The 25,530-nt window shown below is 37.3% G+C and overlaps 1 protein-coding gene across 13 annotated transcripts in view; it reads left to right on the top strand.

The window, feature by feature from the left end:
- Positions 1-25,530, top strand: part of NETO1 (neuropilin and tolloid like 1) — a 125,674-nt gene that overhangs the window by 31,577 nt on the left and 68,567 nt on the right. For 3 of the 13 annotated variants that reach the window (NM_001354021.2, NM_001354022.2, NM_138999.2), the window contains exon 5: positions 1,092-2,378. The exons of the other annotated variants lie outside the window; for them this stretch is intronic. In NM_001354021.2, the coding sequence (NP_001340950.1) occupies positions 1,092-1,096 (5 nt within the window). In that variant the 3' untranslated portion in view covers positions 1,097-2,378. Of the gene's footprint in view, positions 1-1,091; positions 2,379-25,530 lie in introns of those variants that run through there. 13 annotated transcript variants of the gene reach the window in all.

Here is a 25,530-nt window from a genome sequence, read left to right as displayed (position 1 = left end):
TTACAATAAGTGGGGTAAAGGAGAAGAAGAAAATGTATAAGGAGAGTATGACAAGTGTACCTGAACTAACTTATGAGATAAGTATAAGACTTCCCTGAAAAAGAGACTTCAAGTTGAGGTTGATAGGTTGATGGAAGTCAACCACGCAGAAGAATGGTGGATCACGGGCTGGCAGAGAAAGGGGGAGCACCCTGGGCAGTGGAAACAGCCTGTGCAAAATTTTTGCTCAGAGGTGAGAAGCAGCAGGGCACGTCTGGGCTCTAAAAGAAGGCGGTGAGTCTACAGCATGGGCTGTGCTCAAATCCAAGTACTGGAAGATGGCCTACTTGAGAAATTCTGTCTTTTATGAATTTTCCCTGAATACTACTCCTTGAGTCATTCCGTTCCTTTTACCCCTTCCCTCTTCCTACGTCAAGGCCAAGAAGCTGCCCCGTCTCAGTGTTATCACTGTAAGAGATATGCATGTTTCTTGTTGCCCTCTCACACTGTGTTGTAATTATCTCTTTACGTATTTATTTGTTTTCCTCTCACGACCCTGTGGGATTTCTAAGGAAGTAACCATAAATCATATGTGTTTTCCAAACATTAGTTATAGTGTCGACACGTGGAAGAATATACATGAAATATAATTTTCTTCTCACCCATTTATTTCTACAGTTACTGCAGTTTTTACTTGAATGTCCCATTTCTTCCTCAAATTTAAGAATATCAATATTTTTGCAAGAAGGTAATGCTTTTGTTCTGCATTTATATTTGGAGTAATGGTTCTGCCAACTTCGGGCTCACCAAACAATAAACCGTAGAAATACCCATCATTCTTCCTTCTCATTTCACCTCTACATCCTTCAGAAAGGCTTTCTAATTATTCCTTGAATCTATGTCTTAGCTTTCTACCTCAGCACTAATTCAGGCTTTCCTAATTTCATACCTGAGTTACTAGAATAGAATAAACAGGAGTTTTAACTTGTATTCCTACTTTGGATTTGCTCCTCCTGTATTACCCAAACAGCTGTTAAAGTGGACTTCCTACAATTCATGCCTGATCATATACTGGTCTAATTAAACTTCTTTAATTACCTCTTTGCCTCCAGAATAAAAGGCAAACTCCTTAGCAGGATCTACAGAGTGTTTCGTGATCTCTCCTTCTCCATCATCTCATCTCTGGATGCTGTGGTGCCCAGAACGTTGATCTAACACCATCTTGAAGCACACATGCTGATCTCCAGGTGCACCACGATTTGTGCCCTTGAAAATGCTGTTTGCTCAATCTTTCTGGAGAAAGTTTGCCACATATTCGGACTTAGTAAATTAGAACTCCTACCTTGAAACCCAGATGAAGGTTCAATTTTCCCCAGGATTCCTTTCCTCACCATTCTCCTATGTGAGGGACTTCTTGTATTATAATCTTTTAATATAATATTATATTTTATGTAATATTGTGTTAAATTATATTGTTTTATGTAATATATTATTTTAAATGTTATTTTATATATGATATTAAAAGATTATAATTATATAATCTTTTTCGATAATTTATTCTTGTATTACAATCTTTTTATTATAATAGTCTCCACTCTCCCCAAAATATTGTGAATTCTTCAGCTGAGGAGTTTTGCTTTAGTTTCTTATCGCCATGGACTGGGAATTAACATGTATTTAACACATTTTGCTCAAACAATCAAACAGTAAAAGCTGAAGAGAGCGTATTATTATTCGCCCATTCCGAGAGAAAGTTGAAGATGACTGAAGAACTAAAAATACATAAATGAATTAAGTAATTATAAACATAAATTTCCTGTAGCTCCAACATGACTTTGATCTGAGTAATAGTGTTGTGAAATAGATTACTACATGATTTTCATTGCTTTTATATTATATATAGTAATTAATATTCAGAATAGTTGATTAACTTTCTTAAGTGTCACATAATTTAAAAATGAAATTGCTGTTTGCCCCAGATATGTTTTTCTGTGTTCTTTTTAAATTTCAGTGAAATTTTCTTATACTCCCTTCATTAAATCTATTATCTGGTTTCTAAACCTTTACCTATTTAATGTCTCTTTTCCTTTCTTTCTAAAAAGTAACTGGTTAAACTACAGTTTTGTCATTTATGAAATTTTTTCTGTTATTATTGTAGGGATAGTCAATATTATCATTTTAAGGATAGTTAAAACTTATTTTGCAATTAATACGTATTTTACAGTACACTAATATGCATATATGTTGTATTTTATTAAAATATTAAAATGTTTTTTAAACAAAAATATTGTCCGAAGCTCTAAATACCAGAGTATTGATTTTAAAGTCTGCCAAGACAATAATACAAGTAACACAACTAAGCCTTTCTTTAAATAATAAAACGAGTATCTAAATGAAAATATATCTGTCTCTTGTAGGTTGGGTGTTAAAATGTTGTATTCACTTTGGACTTGCTAATTTATCATAGGAATGTTAAAGAGGTGGAAGTCGTAAGTGTGAAAATACATATTTTCAAGAAAGAAATTGAGCTAGTTAATGAGATATATAATAATGTTTTGTATGGGGATGCTACACCAGCTATTTCGTGCAGGGACGTTTAGAGTCTTCAGTTGTACACAGTTGTTTTAAAATGAAGACTAGTTTAGTAGGCCCCCAAAGAAGGCATTAATTTTTCAGTTTTTGAAAGTCAGCGGATATATGCACGACAAAAATTCCATGCCATCCCTGAGTCATATCCTCTTCTGGTTCTCACCCCACTACTGAGAACCTGAGATAATAGGAGAGTATGAGCAATGTGGCAGGCCTGTAGTTGGGTTCGGGGATGTCGTGAGAGTCAGAAAAGCATTGAGCAACAGGGAGTTAGTGAGAGACGGTAATGGAGTCAGAATTCATTTACTAAACCAGTTTTACTTCAGAATTATTATGGTGCAAGCATGGTTCAAAATAGGGCAGATTAGAATGAAGAAGATAGAGCTTGTAGTTTAGTGGGAAATGTGACATTAAAGTAGAATAAAGCATTTGGGGTCATACTGGAGAAAATAGGATGATATCAGAGAATACAGCAAAATAACTTAACGGCCTAGAGGTCAGAGAAAGTCTTCTTGAAATATTAGCATTCAAGTACAGATCTAAAGTAGGAGGATTTAACCAGGTGAAGTGCTTAAATGTCAGAAATATCTATGACTCAAACAGCTTGGCAGTGAAAAACGGTAGATTCATATTTTGGGAAAGCTGTTTTGTATGGATGTATCAATATACAGATGCGTCAAAGTTTCCTCCAGTTCTACCGATGATTACAGAGAATTTAAATAACATATATATGGAGTCTTTAAGTTGAATTCACAAAAGTAATAGGTTAGAGCTGTGTGGAGACTATGGAGACTACAGTCCATCTCTTGAATTGATGACCCATTTTTCAACTGAGTGTTGAGAATATGAAGAGCATTAGAGACATTTACATAGCCTTCTAAAAATGTCATCCATTTTGGAAATAGAAGCCTGAATTCTAGACTATATAAATTATGAGACAATTTTTTATAAAGTGTATCTGTCTGTTCAGAAAACATGATTATGATTAATTTGTGTATAAATCTGTATGTTTATTACACTGCTCTACTATACATGTGAAAATATGCATATAAACCTCAACACTATAAAGTTTGGTACTAAAAAGTGAATTGTAATCAACCATACTTCAGCCTGTCCATTAATAGCAGCCTATACAAATGAGAGCAGCAGGCAGAATAAATTGGGTTAGTCTAGTCAAACATCAATCCCTTGGATGACACTAAGAAGCCAGAAAATGTTGTGTAACAGGACTTAGACACATCAACTACCAGATGTTACCTAGAAGCTCAAGAGACAGAGTCGTAAGATCTGCTTATTGCAATGTATGGGTTAATAAAATCTAAAGAGGACTACTTGGCTATTTTTTAATTCTTTTGAAGTATTATTTAGAAGTGGTTTTTCCTGAGAGATAAATGTAGGTAAATAAAATCTGAAGGGTTTATATCACTGAGGGGGAAAAAGAAAAAAACTTGATCTTTATGAGTGTAATGCACCTTTCTCTAATTTCAGACCTGAGACTTACTAACTGTTACAAACAATAATGTTTTTCCCAAAATATTTTGAGTCATATTAAATTTTTTAGAGTGCTGTTGTGGAATTTTTAAATAAATTTTAGGGTGATTTTTATTCTACTTTTTTAAGAATTACAAATTATTTTATATGGCCTCAAATTTTAAGAATTAGGAAATTGGAGAATTAGCAAGAATTCTGAATATATCATCCAATTCATCTATCAATTATTCATTTACTAATGTGCTAAGCACTAGAGTTAACAAATAATTGAAAATCAGACACTATTTATATCCTACTTAGGGAAACAGGGAGTACCATGTGATTTTGTCATAATAAAGATAAGTACATCACTTTAAGGAAGTAAGGGCCTTTAACTCAAACTATGCTACAATATAGAATAACACTTTCAAGAGACAACACCAACACTTATATTGAAGCACTTAGAAGAGTTACCTAGGAAGAAGGCATGAAAGGGAAGTTCTAAACTATATGACTACAATACCCAAAGACAAATACTGGCATTGCTTTTCCACCACAAAAATTGCAAGTGATTTAGTTTGCGTGAAATAAAAGCTTTGCACAGAAACGTAATGAGGAATATGTTTGGAAAAGTTATACAAGATGTATGTGAGTGTTTTTTATGCTAATCTAATTGAGTTTAGTCTTGAAACAATGAAACTGCCAAAATATTTTAGATACGAAAATTATCACATTTGAGACATAGAATCACCATTGGATCACAAGATAGAAAGTATATTGGGAGAGGGTGGAATTGTTGATGAGTTGGGAAGCTGTAAAAGATGTCCAGGTGAATTAAAGTACTAGTGGTAGCATTGAATATGCACAGGGAGATACAGCTTCAGAATTACAGAGATGTTAAAATTTATAACATATGCTGTCTGATTGTCTGAAGGAAGAGACAGTGAGTTATATTGCTACATCTTTCATTTGAGGTACCTTTGAGATATGGAAGTGGAGTTAACCCAGTGTCTTTTATCTGACACACCAGACTGTAATTCTATGAAGAAATAGATCATTTTCATTCATTGTTGTGGCTTCAGTTGTTAAATAGGATTTTACATTGTTAGAAGATGTGGTCTGTGGAATCAGATGTGTTAGTCACTGGTATGGAGGTGGTGGTAGAAATCATGGATGTGGATGGTATTGCTCAGCTAAGAAATATCGAGAAGGACGAAGACAGACCATCTGAGTAGGTTTGCTGGCAAGTGAATAGATGGGCTGTTGTTTGAGGAGCCAGAAATAAATACTGAAATGGCTGGCCAGAAGAGCACAGTGAAGTATCAGGTAGTGGGGTAAGGGGGTCTTGAAAACCAAGAGGAAGAGACATATTCTGTTACCTTGATGAGGTAATAGTATACCTCATCAAGAAGATTTTGCAGTCAGAAGGCATAATTGACAACCCTATCAAGTACAGTTTTTCCTGCAGTGGTAAATGAAAACTCAATGTTCAGAGAAGAAAATAGGGGATAAAAAGTGAACAACTGGAACCCATAAGTGTAGCATAATCTTTCGGAAACCTTTTCTGTGAAAGGAATCTTGTGATGGAAGGATTAAGAAAGAGGAGATGGTGAATTTGAGGGAAAATGCAGTCAAAGTGGAGGTGGTTAAAATTCATCTTTTGTTGCTTTATGCAAGACTCAGTTCAACTAGGAATCAGGATTAAGACAGATTTTCATATGCTTTGCCTGTAACCTGGAGAAATCCATCCCCTCCCCACCACATCCTACCTCCACACCAAAAGCTGCTCCTAAAAAATTCTGGCAGTCTTCTGTAATACATCTGTTCATTGAGGAATTGTAAGCCAACCCTCAGACCTTATGATCATTGTTATTTTTGTCATTTGTGTTTGTTTTTTGGACTCCTTGTTTAGATGCCCTGGTCCCTTTCACCGCCCAGCAAAGGTGATCTCACAAAATTTTTCTGAAAACACATGTGGCGCTACTGATGTCTCTGAAGTTGTGGCCTCCCTGCCAACCCGTTTCTGGGGTTTGGACGCTGTCCAGGGTGCTGAGTGTGTGGCTGCAGCCTCAACAGCCTTTGCCAATTTTGTTAGCACCATGCCTACTCTCGCAAGCCGGCACCAAGATAGCACTGCTGTTCCCGTCTCTTGGGAGGGCTGCTTCCTTCCCTGTGCCGCCGCTTCCTCTATGCTGTGGACGGCTTACATGCATGATCCTCTATGATGATAAAGCCATAGGTTTTATAGTACTTCCTTCATATTTCAGCCACATAGGTAGATGTGGGCCTGAATTGAGGCAATCTCACAGACACACACTATGATCCACCCCAAATCCCTTTATCTTGAACCTTTATTTGTATAACCAAGAGTCTGTGTCTCTTTTTGTGAGTGAAGTTTATTATTTTCCTCTGTGGATACACTGCGAATATATTCAGAAGTGTGCCAACCTGCTGAGTCAATCCTAGGGTAATGCAGTTTTGTCTGAAGCCAGAACTTCATACTTATATATGGTGTGTTGCCTTTAGAGATGCACTGATATGACAGAACAGGAAAGCAAGAGCAGCTCTGTCTCGCACACCCAGCTTAGAGCACCAGCGTGAACACTGTACTCCCTCCATTTAAGAGGTGCCCCCAAAATATTATTTTGTTACTTAGAGTTTTTATTCTGTTCTTATTATTCCATATTCTTTCAGTTTATCTTTTGGCAAAGGAGCAGCTAATTAGCTTGTATTCTAAAAATTAAGCATATATTTGGGGTAAACCAAGCATAGAACTATTTTAACAGCTACTGTAGAACCTAATGTGATATACATTTAAATATACATTTAAATTTCATAGTGTTCAGAAAATGCCAGGTGTGTCCAGGTAAAGTTGTTAAGATTGTAAAACTGCTATCATAGCAGTAATGATAATAATGATACATAATATCATAATAAGATTGAATAACTGATTGGAGTATATTAGATATTTTTTTCTCTTTATCCTGAAAACAGTTAATAATTAACTTTTTAAGTTTCTTTAAGGAAAATCAAGATTGAGATTTTGGTTGGTCTATAGATCAGCTTGAGGAAAGTTTGCATTTTTAGTGTTTTGAGACTTAAATTTCATGAACAAAGTAGATGGTATGATTATTCGCTTATTTAGATGTTATCTAATGCCTTGCACTACCATTTAATCCTAAGTCTTTTAAAATGTCTTCTTCAATCCATTCTTTTTTTATAATGATTGTGTTTTTCAATTTCTGAGTGAAATTATTTTTGTTTATAATTTCTAATATAAGTTGTGCTGTAATAAGGTAATTGGAGTGTTCCTTTTTCCCATTTCATTTGGTCACTCAAATGAATGGTCTTTCTTGCATTTGAGACTGTTAAGGGGTAATTTTCTTTCTTAAGATTTTTTTTTTAGAACAGTTCTCTTGGAGACTAAATTCTCCAGTGTTTGCTTATTCTCTAAATATCTTCCCATTTCCCCTTCAACTGTAAGAAATAATTTTGCCAACTGACAATTCTAGGTTGACAGGTGTTTTCTCCCAGATCTTAGTAGACCTTATTTGACTGTCTGTTGGCTTTCGTTTTCGCTGTTGAAATATCTGCAGTCATCCTGTCATTTCCTTTAATTGACATGGCTTTTCTTTCTGTGGCTTCAAGATTTTATCTTCATCTTCTGTGTTTAGCAATTCTATTGCCATGTGTCTAGGTATGGATTTCCTTTTGTTTATTTCTTTTGTAGAATACATTATACCTTCTAGATCAGTGACTTCAAATTTTTAATCACTTGTCAAAAAATGTAGCTACTATTTCTTTAAATATTGCCAACTTTCAATTATAGTTTGAAAAATTTTATTGAAAATTTCACTTTGAATATCTTTGTTTTTGTAGTTTCTTACTGTGTTACATTTTTGCAAATGTTTCCTTTTAAAACAGTGCATGTATATCTACAGTAGTATTCTGTGTTTGATAATTGCAAACTCCAAGATTTATTGTATGTTGCTTCTGCTAGCTCTCATGTATGATGATGTTGCTTCTGTTTTGGGAGCTCTTGATTTGCTTTTTTTTTTTCTTGAGATGCAGTCTTCTTCTATTGCCCAGGATGGAGTGCAATGGTGCGATCTTGGCTCATTGAAACCTTCGCCTCCTGGGTTCAAGCGATTATCCCCCGTCAGCTTCCCGAGTAGCTAAGATTACAGGCATGTGCCACCACACCTGGCTAATTTTTGTATTTAGTAGAGACGGGGTTTCGCCATATTGGCCTGGCTGGTCTCGAACTCCTGAGCTCAGGTGATCCGCTGGCCTTGGCCTCACAAAGTGTTGGGATTACAGGCGTGAGCCACCACGCCTGGCTGCATTTTTAATTTATTGCTCTTACGTGGACTAATTTTGGAAAATTTCCTCCAAATATGGCTTGTTCTGTTTCTGCAAGTAGCAAAAGATAACATCTGACCAAAACAACTTCAACATAGCTCACAAGTTTTGATGCAGAAAAGACCTCCAAGCCCAGCTTCCCTTTGGAGTTCTTTTCCAAAGTGCAAAATTCTCACAGAAGTATTGCTGTAGGAGTCGTAAGTCAGAGCAACTGTCCCTTTCAACATGCCCAAACAGCAAGGACAATTTCCTGTAATCCTTTTTTCCCCTTTCTTTTTTTTTTTTTTTTTTTTTGAGACAGGGTCTCACTTTGGTTGCCCAGGATGAAGTGCAGTGGCATGATCCCAGCTCACTGCAGTCTCGACCTCTGAGTCTCAGCTGATTCTCCCCACTCAGCCTCCCAAGTAGCTGGGACTACAGGCAGACATCACCATGCCCAGCTCATTTTTTGTATTTTTAGTAGAGAGGAGGTTTTGCCATGTTTCCCTGGACAGTTTCTTGCAATCTTGTTTCTCAAATTTTCTCCTGCTTTGGGCCTGGCCCCTTGCTGTGAGTTCCAGATACTGTACTGCAGGTCCCTCCAACCCAGGCTACAACCCTATGGAGGGGCTCCACGTATGGCCATATGGTTGTTTGGGGCTGGAGGGTCATTCTGCAGTTGCTGAGTACATGGAGGCCTGGACTGTAAAGAGACTACGGAAGGGGCAGCATGTGTGTTTTGCTTCTCAGATTCATTGTCACTCACGTTGCATAAAGTCCTCAGTTGTTTTTAAGTAATTGTTTTACTATGGATATATTAAACATACAGAATAAAAAAGGGAATAAACATACAATTTGGCAAACCCCCTACTGAGCCTTTAAAAATATTAGAAGGTTGATATTAAACCAGGTAACTTACGGATTTGGAAAAAAAAAAAAAAGAAAGCATTGAATATGGCTGGGCGGTTCTCTGGGGATCCTTGGGCAGACCCAGTTTGCCCCGATTTCTCACTGTAGTTTTCAAGAATAACTGTAGGAGGCGGTGGGAGTGCAGCATCCTGAGATAAGGGAGACAAGCCAGAACAGCGCGGGCACTGTTCCAGCCCCCCTAGAAATGGGTTGATCTTCAGTGCTTCAGCTCAGTGTGTCATGCTTCACCCACGATGTAAAAGCCTAGGATCGGAGGCTTCCCCAGGGTTCGTCAGCTGTGGCACAATAGGGCCCATTGCAAATAAGATTCTATTCCTGTCAGACAGTTTCCTGAGTTGTGGGGGAACACTCACCCTAGGCTTCTGTTGTCTCTTCATGCCTGTGTGTTCCTAATCAACTTTTTTGTGTAACTTGTTGTTTTTGAAAGTGTCACCAGCACACAGTGAACCTGTCTCACGGAAACAGAAATACAGTCCATAGTTTCCAAACCATCAGAGAATTAAAAGGAAATACAGAAATCGTTATCAATCAAATAGAAAGCAAGAAAGAGAAAAAAGGAATTGTGAAAAAAAAGTGGTATAAGAAAAACACAAAATATGAGGGTCAAAATAACTAACAAATATAAACAGAATAAATCTACCAATTTAAAAAAACACGAGAAAAGAATTACACTGAGGAAAAAATCCCAGCAAGATAGTGCTAATAAGAAACATTTGAAATTAAAACCTACAGACACACATGTAGGAGGGTTGAAACTTTTAAATATGAAAAGATAAGTGTTAAGTAAAAGAAAGCTACTAAAAAGCTAATATCAGACCAATTATAATTTAGGATAAAAATCATTAATAATAATGAAGGGAGTAACTGCGTAATGGTGATAAGAAAATGTTCAAATAAAATAACAAGCTGTAAGATATCAAAAATGCACCCTTAAAATATATTAATTAAAAACGTATTTAAAACAGGAAACTAGCAAACCACGATAATTGTGGAACACTTGTCATTTCTCTAAATGTACTTATTGTTTTACACTAATACAAGTAAGTTATATGAAAGACTTCAAAAAGATAATGAATATATTTGATCTAATCAATGTGTTTACAACTCTGCACTCAATAAAGGAAGTATATATGATTTTTAAGAATACACAAATTATATGCAATATTTCACCATATATGTCACAAAGAAAATCTCAACACTTACTAAAAAAATCTAGTGTTTTAAATCACATTTTATTTTTTAAACAGAATCAATGAAAAGATTTTTAAAAATTCTAAGTGATTGAAAACTCAAAATTTCACTTTTAAAGATCGCATGGTTACCAGGAGAAAGCAAGATAAACATGACAAAATAGAGTTTTGTGCTAATTCAAGTATTAACAAAGATTTGTGTAACACATCTTTTGGCCTGCACTCAAAGTAGCTGTTAGAACCTAAACATAATTCTCAATAAATAAGGAAAGTATTGAAGATTTAGGCATTATCTCCAAAAGTGAGAAAAATAATAGTAGAATAAATGTTTTTAGAAGTAGATTTATAAAGAATATAAAGATAAAAGCAGAAATTAATGAAATAAAACAAAGAAACTAAGAAATAATAATACATGGAAAATATGGTATTTTGAAAAGAATTAATAAAAATTGATCCAAAAATAAAGGTAAAAATAAATAATATTAATGAAATTACAATATATGAGTACAGTTAGATTAGAAAAGGTGAAGGGTTATCAACACTTTTTGCCAATATATTTGAAAAGTTAAAATAGGCCAATGTTTAGGAAAACAATTATCAAAATCACTTCAGAAGACATAGAAAACCAGCATCAGCTATTATTTGATGAAGTAGAAATCAGTAATACTTCAGGTGATGTGGAAAGCCCCAGGTTAGGGCTCTGAGATGTACATTCCAGTCTTTGAGTTTTCGCAGATTGTTTTTCTTTACGAAGTCACTTCCTTGTCTTCCTCAGGACTAACTCTTGCTAATCATGTTATAACATCATATCCTAAATTGTGACAGTTTATTTTATATCCTCTGTTTAGGATTTGTCTTTCTTGTCTATGGTGGTTGATTTATGAGTCCATGGCTGTAGATTTCTTGTTTTATTTTGCCTTCTACAAGAATAGTTAATAACTTTTCTTGTTCTGTTACTCTAAAATCAAGAGGAACTTTTATATTTAATCCCAAATCTCTTTATTTTTAAATTTTTATTATTTTTTGTTTGTTTGAGACCGAGTCTCACTCTGTCGCGCAGGCTGGAGTGCAGTGCAGTGATCTTGGCTCACTGCAGCCTCCACCTCCCAGGTTCAAGTGATTCTGGTGCCTTAGCCTCCGGCGTAGCTGGGACTACAGGCATGCACCACCATGACTGGCTTTTTTTGTTTGTTTTTTTTTTGTATTTTAAGTAGAGACGGGGTTTCGCCATGTTGGCCAGGCTGTTTCTGAACTCCTGACCTTAGGTGATCTGCCCGCCTCGGCCTCCCAAAGTGTTGGAATTACAGGCGTGAGCCACCACGCCCGGCACCAAATCTCTTTTATGGCAATTCAACTTGCTCTTCTAGTCTCAAGTAATGAAATAAATGTTTGGGAACTATTCTCATGTGATGATAGTCTCAACAGTTAATGAGTATTTCCCAGAACACTTTCTGTTGTTCAAAAGGGACTTTTAATTCTACTGTACTATGTATACAGAGCCAGATAATTATACATTCAATTTGGGATCATAATTCTAAGATAGAGGCTCACAAATGTATTAAAAGAAGAGACACACAATAATAGAATGCCATGGAAAGGAGACTAGAAATGAAGTTTACCTGCAGCCAAATTCCAGCAAAAGATTTGAATGTAGTAGTTCTTTAGTAATTATTCGATAAGTACCCACTAAATTTAGGAATTCTGGGAGCTCTATTTACTGAGATCAAAACAAACAAACAAAAACCCGGCTTATTCTCAAAGTGTGTAACCAATCTATTAGAAGTTGTGGATGAGTAAACATTATTACTTTAGAACAAAATGCTACAACACAGACATGCAGTTGTACAAGAAGTCAAGCTCTTGTTCCCAACACTATTTTCTACATAGCAGCCAGAGTGATGTTTGAAAACGCAAGTCAGGCCAAGTCACTTCTTTACAAGCCCCTCCAGTGGTTTTTCATTTTGTCCTGTTTGTCTAGGACATTGTGTATCGGGAGCTGCAAGCTTCTCCTCTGTTTAGGGGCAGAGAGTAGATATTTGAGACTTTGTGGCCACATGTCTCTGTGGCAGCTACTGGGCTCCATCTTTGTGGCAAGAAGGCAGAAATGAGTGCCCATGGATATGTTCCAGTGAAGCTCGATGGACACAAGCATGTGAATTTTATATTCTTTTCTCATGTCACCAAATATCCTTCTTTGACTATTTTTAAAAATCTATTGAAAAACATAAAGAACATGTTTAGCTCATTAGGTGATGGAGAATCAGGGAGTCAGGGGAATTTTCTGACCCTGGCTCTTCACCACCTGCCCTGCCCACACCTCCATCCTTTTAACTCCCGTCTTCTCACACGGCCGCGGCCACTCGGGGTTCACTGATGTCCCTTTGTTGAACGAGCCTTGAGGTCTTGAAACATCCTCTTCCCTCTACCTGGCAAACTCTTCCCCTTGTTCTCAGGCTGGTTCTCCCTCTTCCCTTAGGTCCCTCACGTGATCTCAGAGGCCTTTTCTGCCCTCTCTGCCTTCCCCTGCTCCGCTCATGTAAGAGTTACCTCTTTCACACCTCTCCTACCTACTACCTACCTACCACCCACTGACTCCTTAATCCTAGCTAATTTTCCCAAAGCACTCATTGCTTATCACTGCATGACACTTCATATTGTCTCTCACTACCAGACTATTAATGCCATGAGGTTAGCAATTTTTTTTAAATATTGCATCCTCAGTATCTAGCATAATGTCTGGAATACGGAAAACAGCCAATAAATATTTATTAAGTAACAAACAAATGGGAAGGACATGAAAGAAGTCAGAAGACTGTGAGATACGTGGGAGGCTTTTTGGGTATCTGTATCTTGTAAAAGTAATGTAAGCGCTTAAGAAGTCAAAACATACAGAGATGCTTGAAGGAAAATATTAAATCTCCCAAACTCCTTGTACTCCCACTCATTTGAGACATTGTAACGATTTGGTAGGTAAAATATTCACACTGTTCTTTGTGCTCAATAGATATGAGTACAATATAAACATATACACACATGTATATGCCTCTCCCCATACTCTCTCTTTTATTATTTTAGAGAATTTATTGCTATTGCTTCTGCTGTTCTTGTGGGGGAAATATGATTATATGTACAAACTTAACAATTTATAAACAAGATTACAGAACAGTGTCTACCGCAAGTGAAGTCTTCAGCTTTTATTCCTATGACAATCCACTTGTTTTGAAAACAACAGCACAATTGATGTATGTTTTACAATTACAAGATGTGCAAAACCCCAGAATAGAAAAATGTCATTCTCTTTTATGTCTGAGCTCACGATTTTGCTTGGCGGTAGGAAAGTTAAACTTATCTAGCGAATTCTCTCGTTTTTCAAACTCAGATTTAAGCTTTGGTGAGTTAGATTCTTTGAAACTGCCCCTGCAAATGGCTCCCGCTCCCTGCTCCGCCTCCCCACGTCCTGCGGGGGGACGGGACGGTGGCGGTGCTCCTGAGCTGTCCTTCTTGTTATCTGTTCTTGTCTGACCTGTGGCATGGTGCCGCCCAGTGCCCGCTTTCCCAGGCAGCTTCCTGGCTTTGGGAGCCCATATGGAGTCAGGCTTCTCACCCAGTCCACCTGCCCACCTTGTTGGCAGCTGTCCCACTGAGCCCATCCTTTCCCAGCCCCTCCACCCTCTGAGACTTGAGCCCTAGTTAAGCTCTCAGATAATTTCTGCCATCCTTTCTGTATCCGTGGGTCACACACAAATTCCACTACAGCTGTAAGGAAAAGTCAGGGCTGATCCAAGACCTTCGTTCCTCACTCTTCAAAGAAGCCTCCATGGTTATCTCGAGTCCCAGGCAACTGTGACAACAGAGCTGTCCAGGAAAAATGCCCCTAGAGCATCACACCTCAGAGAGGGAATAACATGTCAGCTTCTCTGCTCCTCAGTGGCCCCACTCCCACCTGCATAGGGCAGTTTTTGAAAATTAACAAAAAGCCAAGTCTGTAACCCAGTTGAGTGCTGAGGAAGACATCCCATGAAGGCCCCAGGCTTTACCCATTATGATTCTTTTATGTTAAATTTTAGAAAGACATTTTAATAGGTCAGATTATGGCCCTTAGGATAAGATTACCTGTATTCATACTCTGACTTTGCCACCTGCTTGCTGTGTGACCTTTACCAATTTTATCAGTCACCTCAACGTCTCACGTTCTTCAACTCTAAAAATTGAGATGATAGCCACCCTATGCAATGAGTATTGTTTTGAGATTAATGAGATCATCAGTGTTACATTTCTGACAGAGGGCATGGTGTACTTGCTAAGTAGTACATGATTCTTCTGGAGAGGATTCCTTTTTTTTTTTTTTTTTTGAGTTTCACCCTTATTGCCCAGGATGGACTGCAATGGCACAATCTCGGCTCACCGCAACCTCCACCTCCTAGGTTCAAGCGATTCTCCTGCCTCAACCTCTTGAGTAGTTGGATTATAGGCATGTGCCACCACGCCTGGCTATTTTTTTTTTCTTGTTTCTTTTTTGTTTGTTTGTTTTAGTAGAGATGGGGTTTCTCCGTGTTGGTCAGGCTGGTCTCGAACTCCCGACCTCAGGTGATCCGCCCACCTCGTCCTCCCAATGTGCTGAGATTACAGGCATGAGCCACTGTGCCTGGACCCATTTTTTTTTTTTTTTTTTTTTTTAGTTAATATGAAGAAGAGAATGCTTAGAAGAAAAAACTGCTTCAGGAGACAGAAAACGGGGCTAAGGAGAGGACAGGATATAATTTGTCAGCCAGGGGAGGCTGTTCCAAGATTAGGAAGCTGAAAGAGCTGTTTCCCAGGCAAGAGATGGGCAGAAGAGATACGCAGGAGTAGATCATGAAGGCCTTTGTGCCTTTTGTGTATTCAAGGTTCTAATTAGGAGATTTTCTGTCTGCCTATTTGTCTGTCTATCTATCACCTATAAGTCTATCTATCTATCTACCTAGAGATTTATTATGAGGAATTGGTTCACACAATTACAGAAATTGAGAAGACCCAAGAGTTGCAGCTGACAAGCTGGAGGCCCAAAAGTGTAGTTCCACTCTGAAAATCACCCGACTCAAGACCCAAGAAGAGCCAGTTTTTCAGTTTGAGTCCGAAGGCATGTCAAGACCCATATCCTTGCTCAAGCAAGGAGGGAGGAGGAGTTCTCTGTGAGTCATTTTGTTCTATCCAAGTCTTCAGTTGAATGGATGCCGCTCATCCTCGTTAGAGAGGACCACTTGCTTCACTGAACCCACTAATTCAAATGTTAATCTCATCCAGACGCATCCAGAGTAACGTTTGGGTACAGGTCCAGAGATCACCCCCCGGCCAAGTGGCCCAGTCAAGGTGATACCTTTTACCATCCTGTAAGTTTTCAAAGCTATAGTAAAGTAGTCTGATGGCTGTTGAACAAACAGCTCCAATAGCAGGAGATTGAATGGGGTGGAGTGGAGAAGGGAAGAGTTGGTTTTATAATATAGTTATGTAAAAATAACAAAGGAGAATGCGCACTTGTATATTCCATCATTGATTTTGCTTTCCAGTCTGAATGGTTTCCAACATGTGAATCTCTTCGTTTAATTGCTCTACATCTGTGTACATTGTAATCATTTGAAACTTTAGAAACGTGCTTATAAATTTTATCTGCATACGTTTATTGTTGGTTTTTCCTAAAACAAGCAAAGTAAAAATTATTCGTCCTCCTCTCATTGTCTATATATAAATTAAATGAACATTAAAGGACTCTCCATGTGTCAAAAGACCATTTTAAAATTTTTTAGAGTACCTTATGAATTTGAAATTTCTAGTTGTGTAGCTTTCATACAAAACATATTCTTCATTTCTTTTAGGTACAAAAGCAAAATAGAAACCATTTTATCTTTCTGGTGCCAGATGAGTGCCATCTACATGTTTGATTTTTCATTGCATGCATCTCTCACCAACAAAATAAATTTTGCAACAAATTGCAAATTATTTAATAAAATGAGCTAACAGAAATCAGGTCTTAATATAATGTCTGAATGTAATATCCTGAAATTAGAGGTTCTTTTCCATTCTAAATATAAATTAACATTATTTTATGCATTTAAAAAGTATATATTTTTTCACTTTTGGTAAGTTTTACTTAGAACTTTCTCTACATGTAGTGTTTCTTTTTGTGTTTAATATTATTTTTTGGTATTTTTCTCTTACTAGGTGGAAATTTTAGAAAGTTTCCAATAACAAATTTCAGGAGAAGAATTTTAAACATGCAAATTCAAAGATGAAATTGCATTATATTAAAAGTTTTTATGCTATTAAATATTTCAAATCAAAGTTTTTTAAATCCAGATTTCTTTACATATTTTAGTGTCGGCATTATTAGAATTAATTAAATGCTTGATGACTAGGGCAAAGCTTAGGAATGTTATGAAGCTATCTCATTTTGAAATAAATCCAGTATCAACGTCAAATATTTTTGAAATCATAGAATTATCTAATTATAAAATACTAATCAGTTCTCAGAATTTCAGCAATTATAGAGCTCTTTAGAAGCCCATCCTTTTTTGTAACACAAGGAAAGGCAGATATATGTAAAGGTTTGTTATCAATATATATACACCATTCCAATGAAATGTGGTACAGTTTTCCTGAATAATTACATAGGTGGCAGCACTCCCTTATCCTGAACATGATGCCACAAAACAGTCAGAGGCTGTGGGCTTCCACCTAAACTAAGGTGGAAGGAAGTTTGAGAGAGGGAGAGAGAAAGAGATAAACAGTAAGACAGTAAGACAGACAGAAGGTGGGAAGGGAGGAGGGATAAAAGGGAGGAAGACATGGACTTAGATTCACTCATGGCTTTATAAACTAATGTTAGATTAAAAAAATAAAGGACAGCTCTATAGAGTTTCTTATGCAAAAACATTTTCATCTGAAATTTGTGGAAAAATGTAATTCATTTTAAACGTGTGTGTTTTAGGTGTAGAATACACATATACGCCTAACTATATTTCCATTTTGATATATTTAGCTAATTTTTAATTTTTTGTGCTGTTAAAATTGGAATATTATACATATAATTGCAGTGACTATTGTGAGAGTTTTAAAAGAACATGTTGCTTGTTTCTATAATTTAATAGATAAACGAAAAAATGTTTATATAAAGTTATAATGAGCATGATATTTTATGATATGTATTTTTCCCCAAGAAAGATTATATTTCAAGTACTTTTATTATGAAGCCAATCATAACATCTCAATAAGCAGTGGATTTTCTGGGATGAAAATGTCTCGTGCTTGACTTTAAAATCTGGAAAAATAAGGTTGCATAAAATCTTATTTTCCAAAGAATAGTCGTGAAAATGGTAAAGTGAATATTTTTTTCTAAAAATGAAATCACATATGAAAATTTCGAGGAAGAAGCATATGACAGGCTTCTACACCTTTTCCACTGTGCTAGTGTGACCCAAGGTTAGAATCCTCCACAGTGAAATGTCCTCAGCTGCTCATTGTGCCTTTGTAGCGTTTCTTAAATATAGGAAAGCCTGTTGCCATAGGCAGAATCTGTTTTATGTGATACTGTCAATATTTTTCTTAATATCTTGAAATCGCAAGAGTAAAGCACACAAAAGAATTTGGAACATTTCCACTTGCAAATGTTATTACTTTAGGATTCTTCTAACAGTGAATAGACAGCATGGTCAGATTCATTTTATTTAGTACACTTGCAAATTTACAATTATCACTCTATGTGTAAGTATCTTAGTAGTTTTGTTTTTACTGATTGTATGCATTTTTGATTAATAGTAACTACTGAAAGTCAAGCAGTGCAAAGGTTACGAAAGCTGATCTTATTTAACACCAAAAGAAAAAAAAGATGGATGATTTCATGTGCAAGATTTTTATAAGCCCGAGTTGCAATCATCTCAAGGCTCACCTGCATGAGGATCCACTTTCCAGCTCATTCACAGGGCTATAGCAGGCTTCAGTGCTCACTGGCCGTTGGTCAGAAACAATATTTCCATTCTATATGGGTGTCTTCACTGGGCAGTTTACCGTGTATGAACTGATGTCTTTTAGAGCATGAGCATGTTGGGGTGGGAAGGAAAAAGACAGGTCTGAGAGACAGACAGAAACAGACAGAGAAAGAACAAGACAGAAGTCACAATTTTTCCAACCAAATCTTGGAAGTGACATCTAATCACTTTTCTTACTTTCACTGGAAGTGAAGCACTATTTGTTAGAAATGAGTCACTAGGCCTAGCTCACGCTAAGAGGTGATTAGGCATTCGGTATTAATACTTGGTGCTACCTTACAGGCTCCTTCCTATAGGGCGGTTTCTGTCTCCATATGTAGGTTTTTGAATATCAGCAATCTTTTGGTATTTGTACCGAATCTTTACTTTGTTGGTTTAAAAAAAAATCTCTAACATTTAGTGGCTTACACAGTGACAATGCATTATTTATCACATCTTTGTTGGTTGACTAGTTGGTTCTTCTCCATTTGGCAACAGCCTGAGCACTGGAATGGCTGCGGGGCCGATGCTCTCACTCCCATGGTGGGCTGGTGTTCTTGGCCATAGCTGGGAATTAAGCTGAGGCTGTGGGCTGTGGGACTTGATTCGTTTCCATATGGCTTCTGCATGTGATTGATGAAATTTCTTCACGGTATGTTTGCTGGGCTACAAGAGGGAGCATATCAACAGTGAATGTTTCAGAAGGTAGCAGCAGGAACCGCCATGTCTAGTGTCAGAGGCTCAGCATGTTGCTCCATTCTATTGGTGAAAGAAGTCACAGGGTAAACTCAGGTTCCAAGAGAAGAGGAATAAACTCTGCCTCTTGATGGGAAACTGTCATCCCTATAAAGGGAGACGAGGAATTGCTGGAGAGCATCTTTGAATATAGACGTACCGGAGGGTGCCCCCTGGCTGTAATAACCCATATGCCTCCCACAGGCTGCATGCACTCACCCCCTTCGAAGACTCTCACAAGTGTCTTCTCATCACGACATCATCTTAGAGTCTTGTAGCCATCATCCTTACTGGGTCCAAGTGTAGATGGACTCCTTGGCAGCAGCCAATTGGTGCAGCTCTTCAACTGTGGTTTTCTGAATGCAGACTTGAGAACTAAAAAGGCAAGCTCCCCACCCCCAGCCAGCCCACAATGGGAAGATGGTGGGATGATCATAGTAGTCACTCCTACCAGGAAGAGTTAAAATAGGCCCACAGTGGGGTGGGGACCCACGGTGATGATTCTAAAATCCATCCAGGCACGGTTGCCTTTTCCTTTGACGCTGGCAGCAGGAAATTCTCCTTGCTGCTGCCTGGAGAGGTTCTCCATTGCCATTGGTGCTATGCCCTGAATACTTGGCTCTGCTGTCTGATTTACCCTTCCTCCCTTTCCCCCGCTCCCAAATGGCCCATGTTGCAGGTCAGGAGCTTTCCCAGCCTTCTTCCTGACTGTAGGAGGTGGAATGCTAGGGACTTCTTTTCATTTTGAATGGTCTCTGTCCCTTTAGATAAACGCTGGTGTAACAGCCTTTGAAATTTTGTGGTTTTACCAAACAACATAAGTAGTCCAGTTCCTCAGGCATTTTCCAGCGTGCTTTGGGATATCTAAGATTTTTCAAACCTAGTTGAGAAGTTGCATGAATGCTTCTTTTTTACACCTTTGTGTAGCTGTAACAAAGTATTTTACAGCTTTACCTTTGAATTGTTTGATTTGATCTTCCTCTTAAGGCCACACTCAGCTCACTCTCAGCACTCTGAAATTCATCTTTGTCCCCAATTCCAGGCTGGAGAGATAGAGAATTGCAGGGGGAGGGGTGGAGGAGAGGGGGAGAGAAGGGGACAGAGGGAGAGAGAGAGAGAGAGAGATCGATCCTAATTCTGATTAAAAATTCTTCTTATGTTGATCTCTATATGTACCTTACCTCTATCTGTACCTGTCTGCACCTAAGAGAAGACTTTTGACATTTTCAACATTCTGTTGAGTACTCTCATTAGTAAAATGTACAAGTCTATTGTGGATATTTCCTGTCTTCTACCCAGGAGTATTGCCAGACTTTCTGCCACTAAATAACACAGCTGTGTTATATCCAGTAGGATTTTCTTACCTGTTCTCCCAGCCACAACTGATAGTTTTCTCAGGAGTCTTTCAAACCCTACTCAGTCCAAAATCTATGCCAAAATTCGTCCTGCATATGGTTGCAGTAATGTCCACTAGTGTCAGCAGCGGACAGGAGTTTTCATTGTTCCACATACACGTGAAACTCGATGTCGTCAGTCTTACATCCTTTTCTGTTTTGTTGGCTGCTTAATGGGATCACACGTTGTTATTTTAATTGCATTTTGTTTATTATTAATAAGATTAAATGACTTGTATTAAACGTTTTAGAGGCTCAAATTTCCTCTTGTATGAAATACCTGACCAGGACTTTTGCCTGTCTTATGTTGTGTTGTCTTTCTTTTGTATGCTGATTTATGGTAGGTCTGTATATATTCTAGATATTGGTGATATGAAGGCTATAAGTGTTGATAAGGTCTTGCAGTGTGTGGCTTACCTTTTTATTCTCACTCTGGTGTCATGTGGAGGTTGAAAATTCCTAATTTTAATTTGTTTATTACTTTTATTTTTCATATTGTGACTTAATGAATCTTCCCTTATAGAAATCATAAAGCGATTCTTTTTTGTTGTCTTCTAAATACTATATTTGCTTACTTTTCAGATTTTGATTTTTACTGTGTGGTGTGAAGCAGAGATTGAGTTCCGTTCTTTAAACACATGAATACTGAGTTATACCAACATGAGTAATTAAAAATAGATCACCAAGATAGATGCTGCCCAAAATAGTTGAGCATTTTTGCCTTTTAGCACAGGGATTTAAAACTGTAAATATCCCTGTAAGTTCTGCTTTAGCAACACCAAACAAGTTGTTTTTGTAGTATTTTTATAATAATTGTTTTACTAAATAATAATAATTTTAAATTTTTTTTTCTTTGATAAGCTCTGTCCCTATGGTGGTAGATTTTTATTTCTCTTTGAATCCTGGAAATATTTCATTGATGCAATGATAACATTGTACCTATGTTATTAGGTATATATACATTTAAAATTCTTGTATCTCTCAGAGAGTTGAATCTTTTGGAGTTTAAAAATAACTCAGTTATTTGTAGTAATGCTTTTTTCCCTGAAGTTTTTCTTTATTCCTATAATTGCCATATCAGATCTCTTTGGTTTTGAATTTGCATAATTCTTTTCCTAACATTTTAAACAGTTACGTTTCCCTAAATTAGAGATGTTTCTTAGGAGCAACACATTATTAGATTTGTGTTCTAGTCCAGTTTTCTGGTCTTTGTTACTTAAGATTGTGTTTAGTTCATATATCTGGGTTTAGATCAATCCTACATTTTATGCTTTCTATTTGTTCCTCCTTTGTTTTATTTCTTTTTTTTCTTTTTTAGTTTCTACTTTTCTTCTTCTTACTATAATTTCCTCATGCAATTTGTCTGCCTTTATTTATTTTTGGAATTAAATTACTTTTTCCCCTGTCCTATTAGTGGTTACTCAAGAAACTACAACATATACATTCTCTTCTCAAAATCTGCTGTCATTATTCCCTTGAAAAACACAGAATCTTAAGATGTTATCTTACATTACTGTCTCATGATTTATCTGTTATTTTTGCCTTACTCTTATTATTGGATTCAGTGAGTGCCCATCTGTTTACCCACACATTTCTTATTCTTTATTCCTTTTTGCATCTAAAATTGGGGACCTAATATCACTTACCTTCTGCTTGAACTGGAGACTTCAGACATTCCCTTAGTGAAAATAGATTTTTGGCAGATAATTCTAGTTTTCACTTCAGCTTCATTCTTGGATGTTGAAGTCTGGATGAGCATTTTTTTTCAGCTTGCTGAATACATCATTCCAGTCTCCCGGGTGCCACTGAAATCAGGTATCAACCTAATTACCACTCCTTTCATGAGTGTGTTACTCTTTTTCTCTGCATAGTGTATAGATTTTTTTCTTTTTCAACAGTTTTGAAAACTCTAAATAATTATCTCTTTAAATATTTCATGCCCTTCATTTTCTGCTCCCTTTCTAGAAACCTGATAAGATTAGTGTCTCACTGTGTCTTGCCTTTTAACTTCTCCTTTATTTTCTCACTCTTCATCTGTCTGTGCAATGCACTGGAAATTTCTTCGGGTATCTTTGAGTGCATCCTTTATAGTCTTATTAAATCTGTCTATTGAGTTTTTTATTGCAATTACTGTGATTTTCATTTCTACATTTATTTAGTTATTTTTCAAAAACACTGAGGTATTTTTTGGTAGTTTCCTATTCCCTGCAGATATTTTCAGTCTGGTTTGTAATGTCTTAAAACATGATAAACATTGTTCTTTTATGGTCTGTGCATGGTAGTTCTACTATTTGGAATCTTTCAAGATTCATTTCTTCTCTTCGTTTTCACTGTTCTTCCCTCAGGTCTTATGCGCCTGTGATTAACTTTTTGCTGTAAACAACTCATTTTCTTTGGAAAATTATTTGGGGGAATTGTTTCGGGCCTAGAATGAAGTTATATTCCTGCAGAAAGTAGTTGTATTTATTGCAGCCCATGCATAATCCGTGTAACCCTTGTCACTTAAATGTATGGTTTAAGATATTTGGATAATCCGGGTCTTACGTATTTGAGGTGCAGTTCTCCTGTAATGACAAGTGTTGACTGAAAATTCTCTCGCACATTGTCACTCCTCACTCTGCTCAACAGCAAGGCATCGTCCCTCTTATCATTTTCCACAGCCCCTTCAGTAGAGAAGGAGCTGGACAGTCTCACATTCAGCTCACGTAAGTGGTGGTGAATCTCCCTGTTTCAGCTTCATGGAGAGTGGCTCTCTCATCAGATTCCCAGCCTTGGTTAGACATCTGAGGTCCTAAAAACAATTATTATAAAAGTACTATATAATCAATATCTTTTATTACTTTAAAGTAAATCCTCAAAAATTGAATTGGTAGTTATACACAATTTATGTGTCATAGGGAATATGTTATGGTGATGAGAGGTAGTTTGTTCTGACAGGGCTGTTGACTCCAAGAGAAAACTTAGGAGATGGATCTTGAATTAATGTTAGGAAATGTATCTAGAACTTCAAGTTTTATGAGTTATTTATAGGAGAAACTGAATATTTCGGAAGAAGTTGGCAGCATCAGAGGTACATTCTAGAGAGACCGGATTGAAAAATGTTAAGACTGAAATTAGGAGGACTAGGTGGAACAAATGATTGGCTCTAAGCATTACTAAAAAAGAAAATATACCAGGAATTGAGAATAAAAAAAGTAATAAAGGTCAAAACTTCCAAAGAAAGGAATTGATGTGACCTTGGTCATTTTGAGGTAGATGCAAGGAACTGTTAAGAGTGAGGAAGAAACCAAAAAGTCACTAGAGTCTAAAGCCTGGATCACTTAAAATTCAATGATGACGTTGGCGAAAATCACAGGGAAAAAGTGGAAGAAAGATAACTGTGTAAATTTTGGACGTGTTGGTCCTGAAGTGGTAAATAAATGTTCAAGCACAAATGTCAAGACTAACTAGCAGTGAAGCTGCTGCCTCTTTTGGAGGTTTATTAAGTCCATGGTCACAGCTGTGAACAATTGTGCAATCAGACAGACTGTGTTCAAGTACTGACTCTCCACTGACTAAACAGTGCCTTTGAGTCACTTTATAATCTTTCGTGAACTTCCGTTTTCTCCTGCCTTCAATGAGAATAATTGTACTTATTTCATATAATGCAGTGATTTCACCACTTAAACACCATACAGTGAATGTAGGGAAGTTTTACCCACAGTTGTTCCTCAATGAAGATGTTAGCATCACACTTACAATTGCGGTTTTAAGGCTGCAGTCACTGTGGGAACACCAGATCTCTTAATGATATTTGTGTGCTCAGAGCTGCTTGCTTCATTCCCACACACTGTTGAACTAGGAGTCCTCTCCCTGGTACTGAAAGCATGGATGTAAACGAGACAGAGAGCCAAGAGAAAGGTCTCCAAGAACCAAAAGAAGGTTTCAGAACCCCAAATCCATGGATTCATTAATGAGTTACTTTTTTTTTCTTTCTTTCAGACAGGGTCTCACTCTGTCACCCAGGCTGGATTAAGGTGGTACGATCACAGCTTTCTGCAGCCTCGAACAGTTGGCTTCAAACCATCCTCCTGCCTTAGCTTCCCAAGTAGCTGGGACTACGGGCACATGCCACCACACCCGGCTCGTTTTACTTTATTTTGTAGAGATGTGGGTCTCACTGTGTTGCTTAGGCTGGTCTCAAACTCCTGATCTCAAAAGATCCTCCTTTTCTGGTCTCCCAGAGAGGTGGGATGACAAGCACGAGCCACCCCACCTGGCCCTACTTTTTGAAATAGTCTGTAAAAATTTTTAATCATTTAATTTGTAGCAATGTCACTCATTGAAATTATTGAGATCAATGAAAGGTAGTTTGTATTCCAAAACATCCAGAAGAAAGCCATAGCTGATGGGAGTTTCTTTTGGAATATGGAAGCTGGAGAGTTTCTGAGTTGAGAGGAGGCTGTCTGTGTAAAATGGAACCGTAAAGACAATAAAGAGAATCATTGGTAGAATGAGAGTGCAGAGATGAGTCATGGGTTTCACGTTACAGAACAGGTGGTGCCGTTAGGGTGAGTGGGCACAGAGTGAGATACTCAGATCTGGACGTCAGAAAAGTGAGTGCCAAAGACTGTAGGATGGAGGGGCAAAGGCATGGAGACGGTGAGTACTGTGAAGCCTGAGGGTGAGGAAGGCCGTGACAAAGAACACCATGGCGGATATGGAAAGGGAAGGAGGTAGTAGAGATTTTACAAAGAATAATTGCAAGCTCTTGGTATCTTTCTGATGAAGGGAAAGTGTGAGGAAGTAGTCACATTTATTTTGTTTTTGCAGTTTCCAGCTCAGGTTAATGATAGAACAAAATGAAAAGTCTAAAAGCAGTAAAGCAGAAGGCATCCCATAAATCTTCCTCTCTAACTAAAT

The sequence above is a fragment of the Homo sapiens genome, chromosome 18 (genome assembly GCF_000001405.40).
Source record: "Homo sapiens chromosome 18, GRCh38.p14 Primary Assembly".
NCBI lineage: Eukaryota > Metazoa > Chordata > Mammalia > Primates > Hominidae > Homo > Homo sapiens.
Note: the sequence above shows the minus strand (reverse complement) of the source record. Positions and strands in the feature narration are given on the sequence as shown.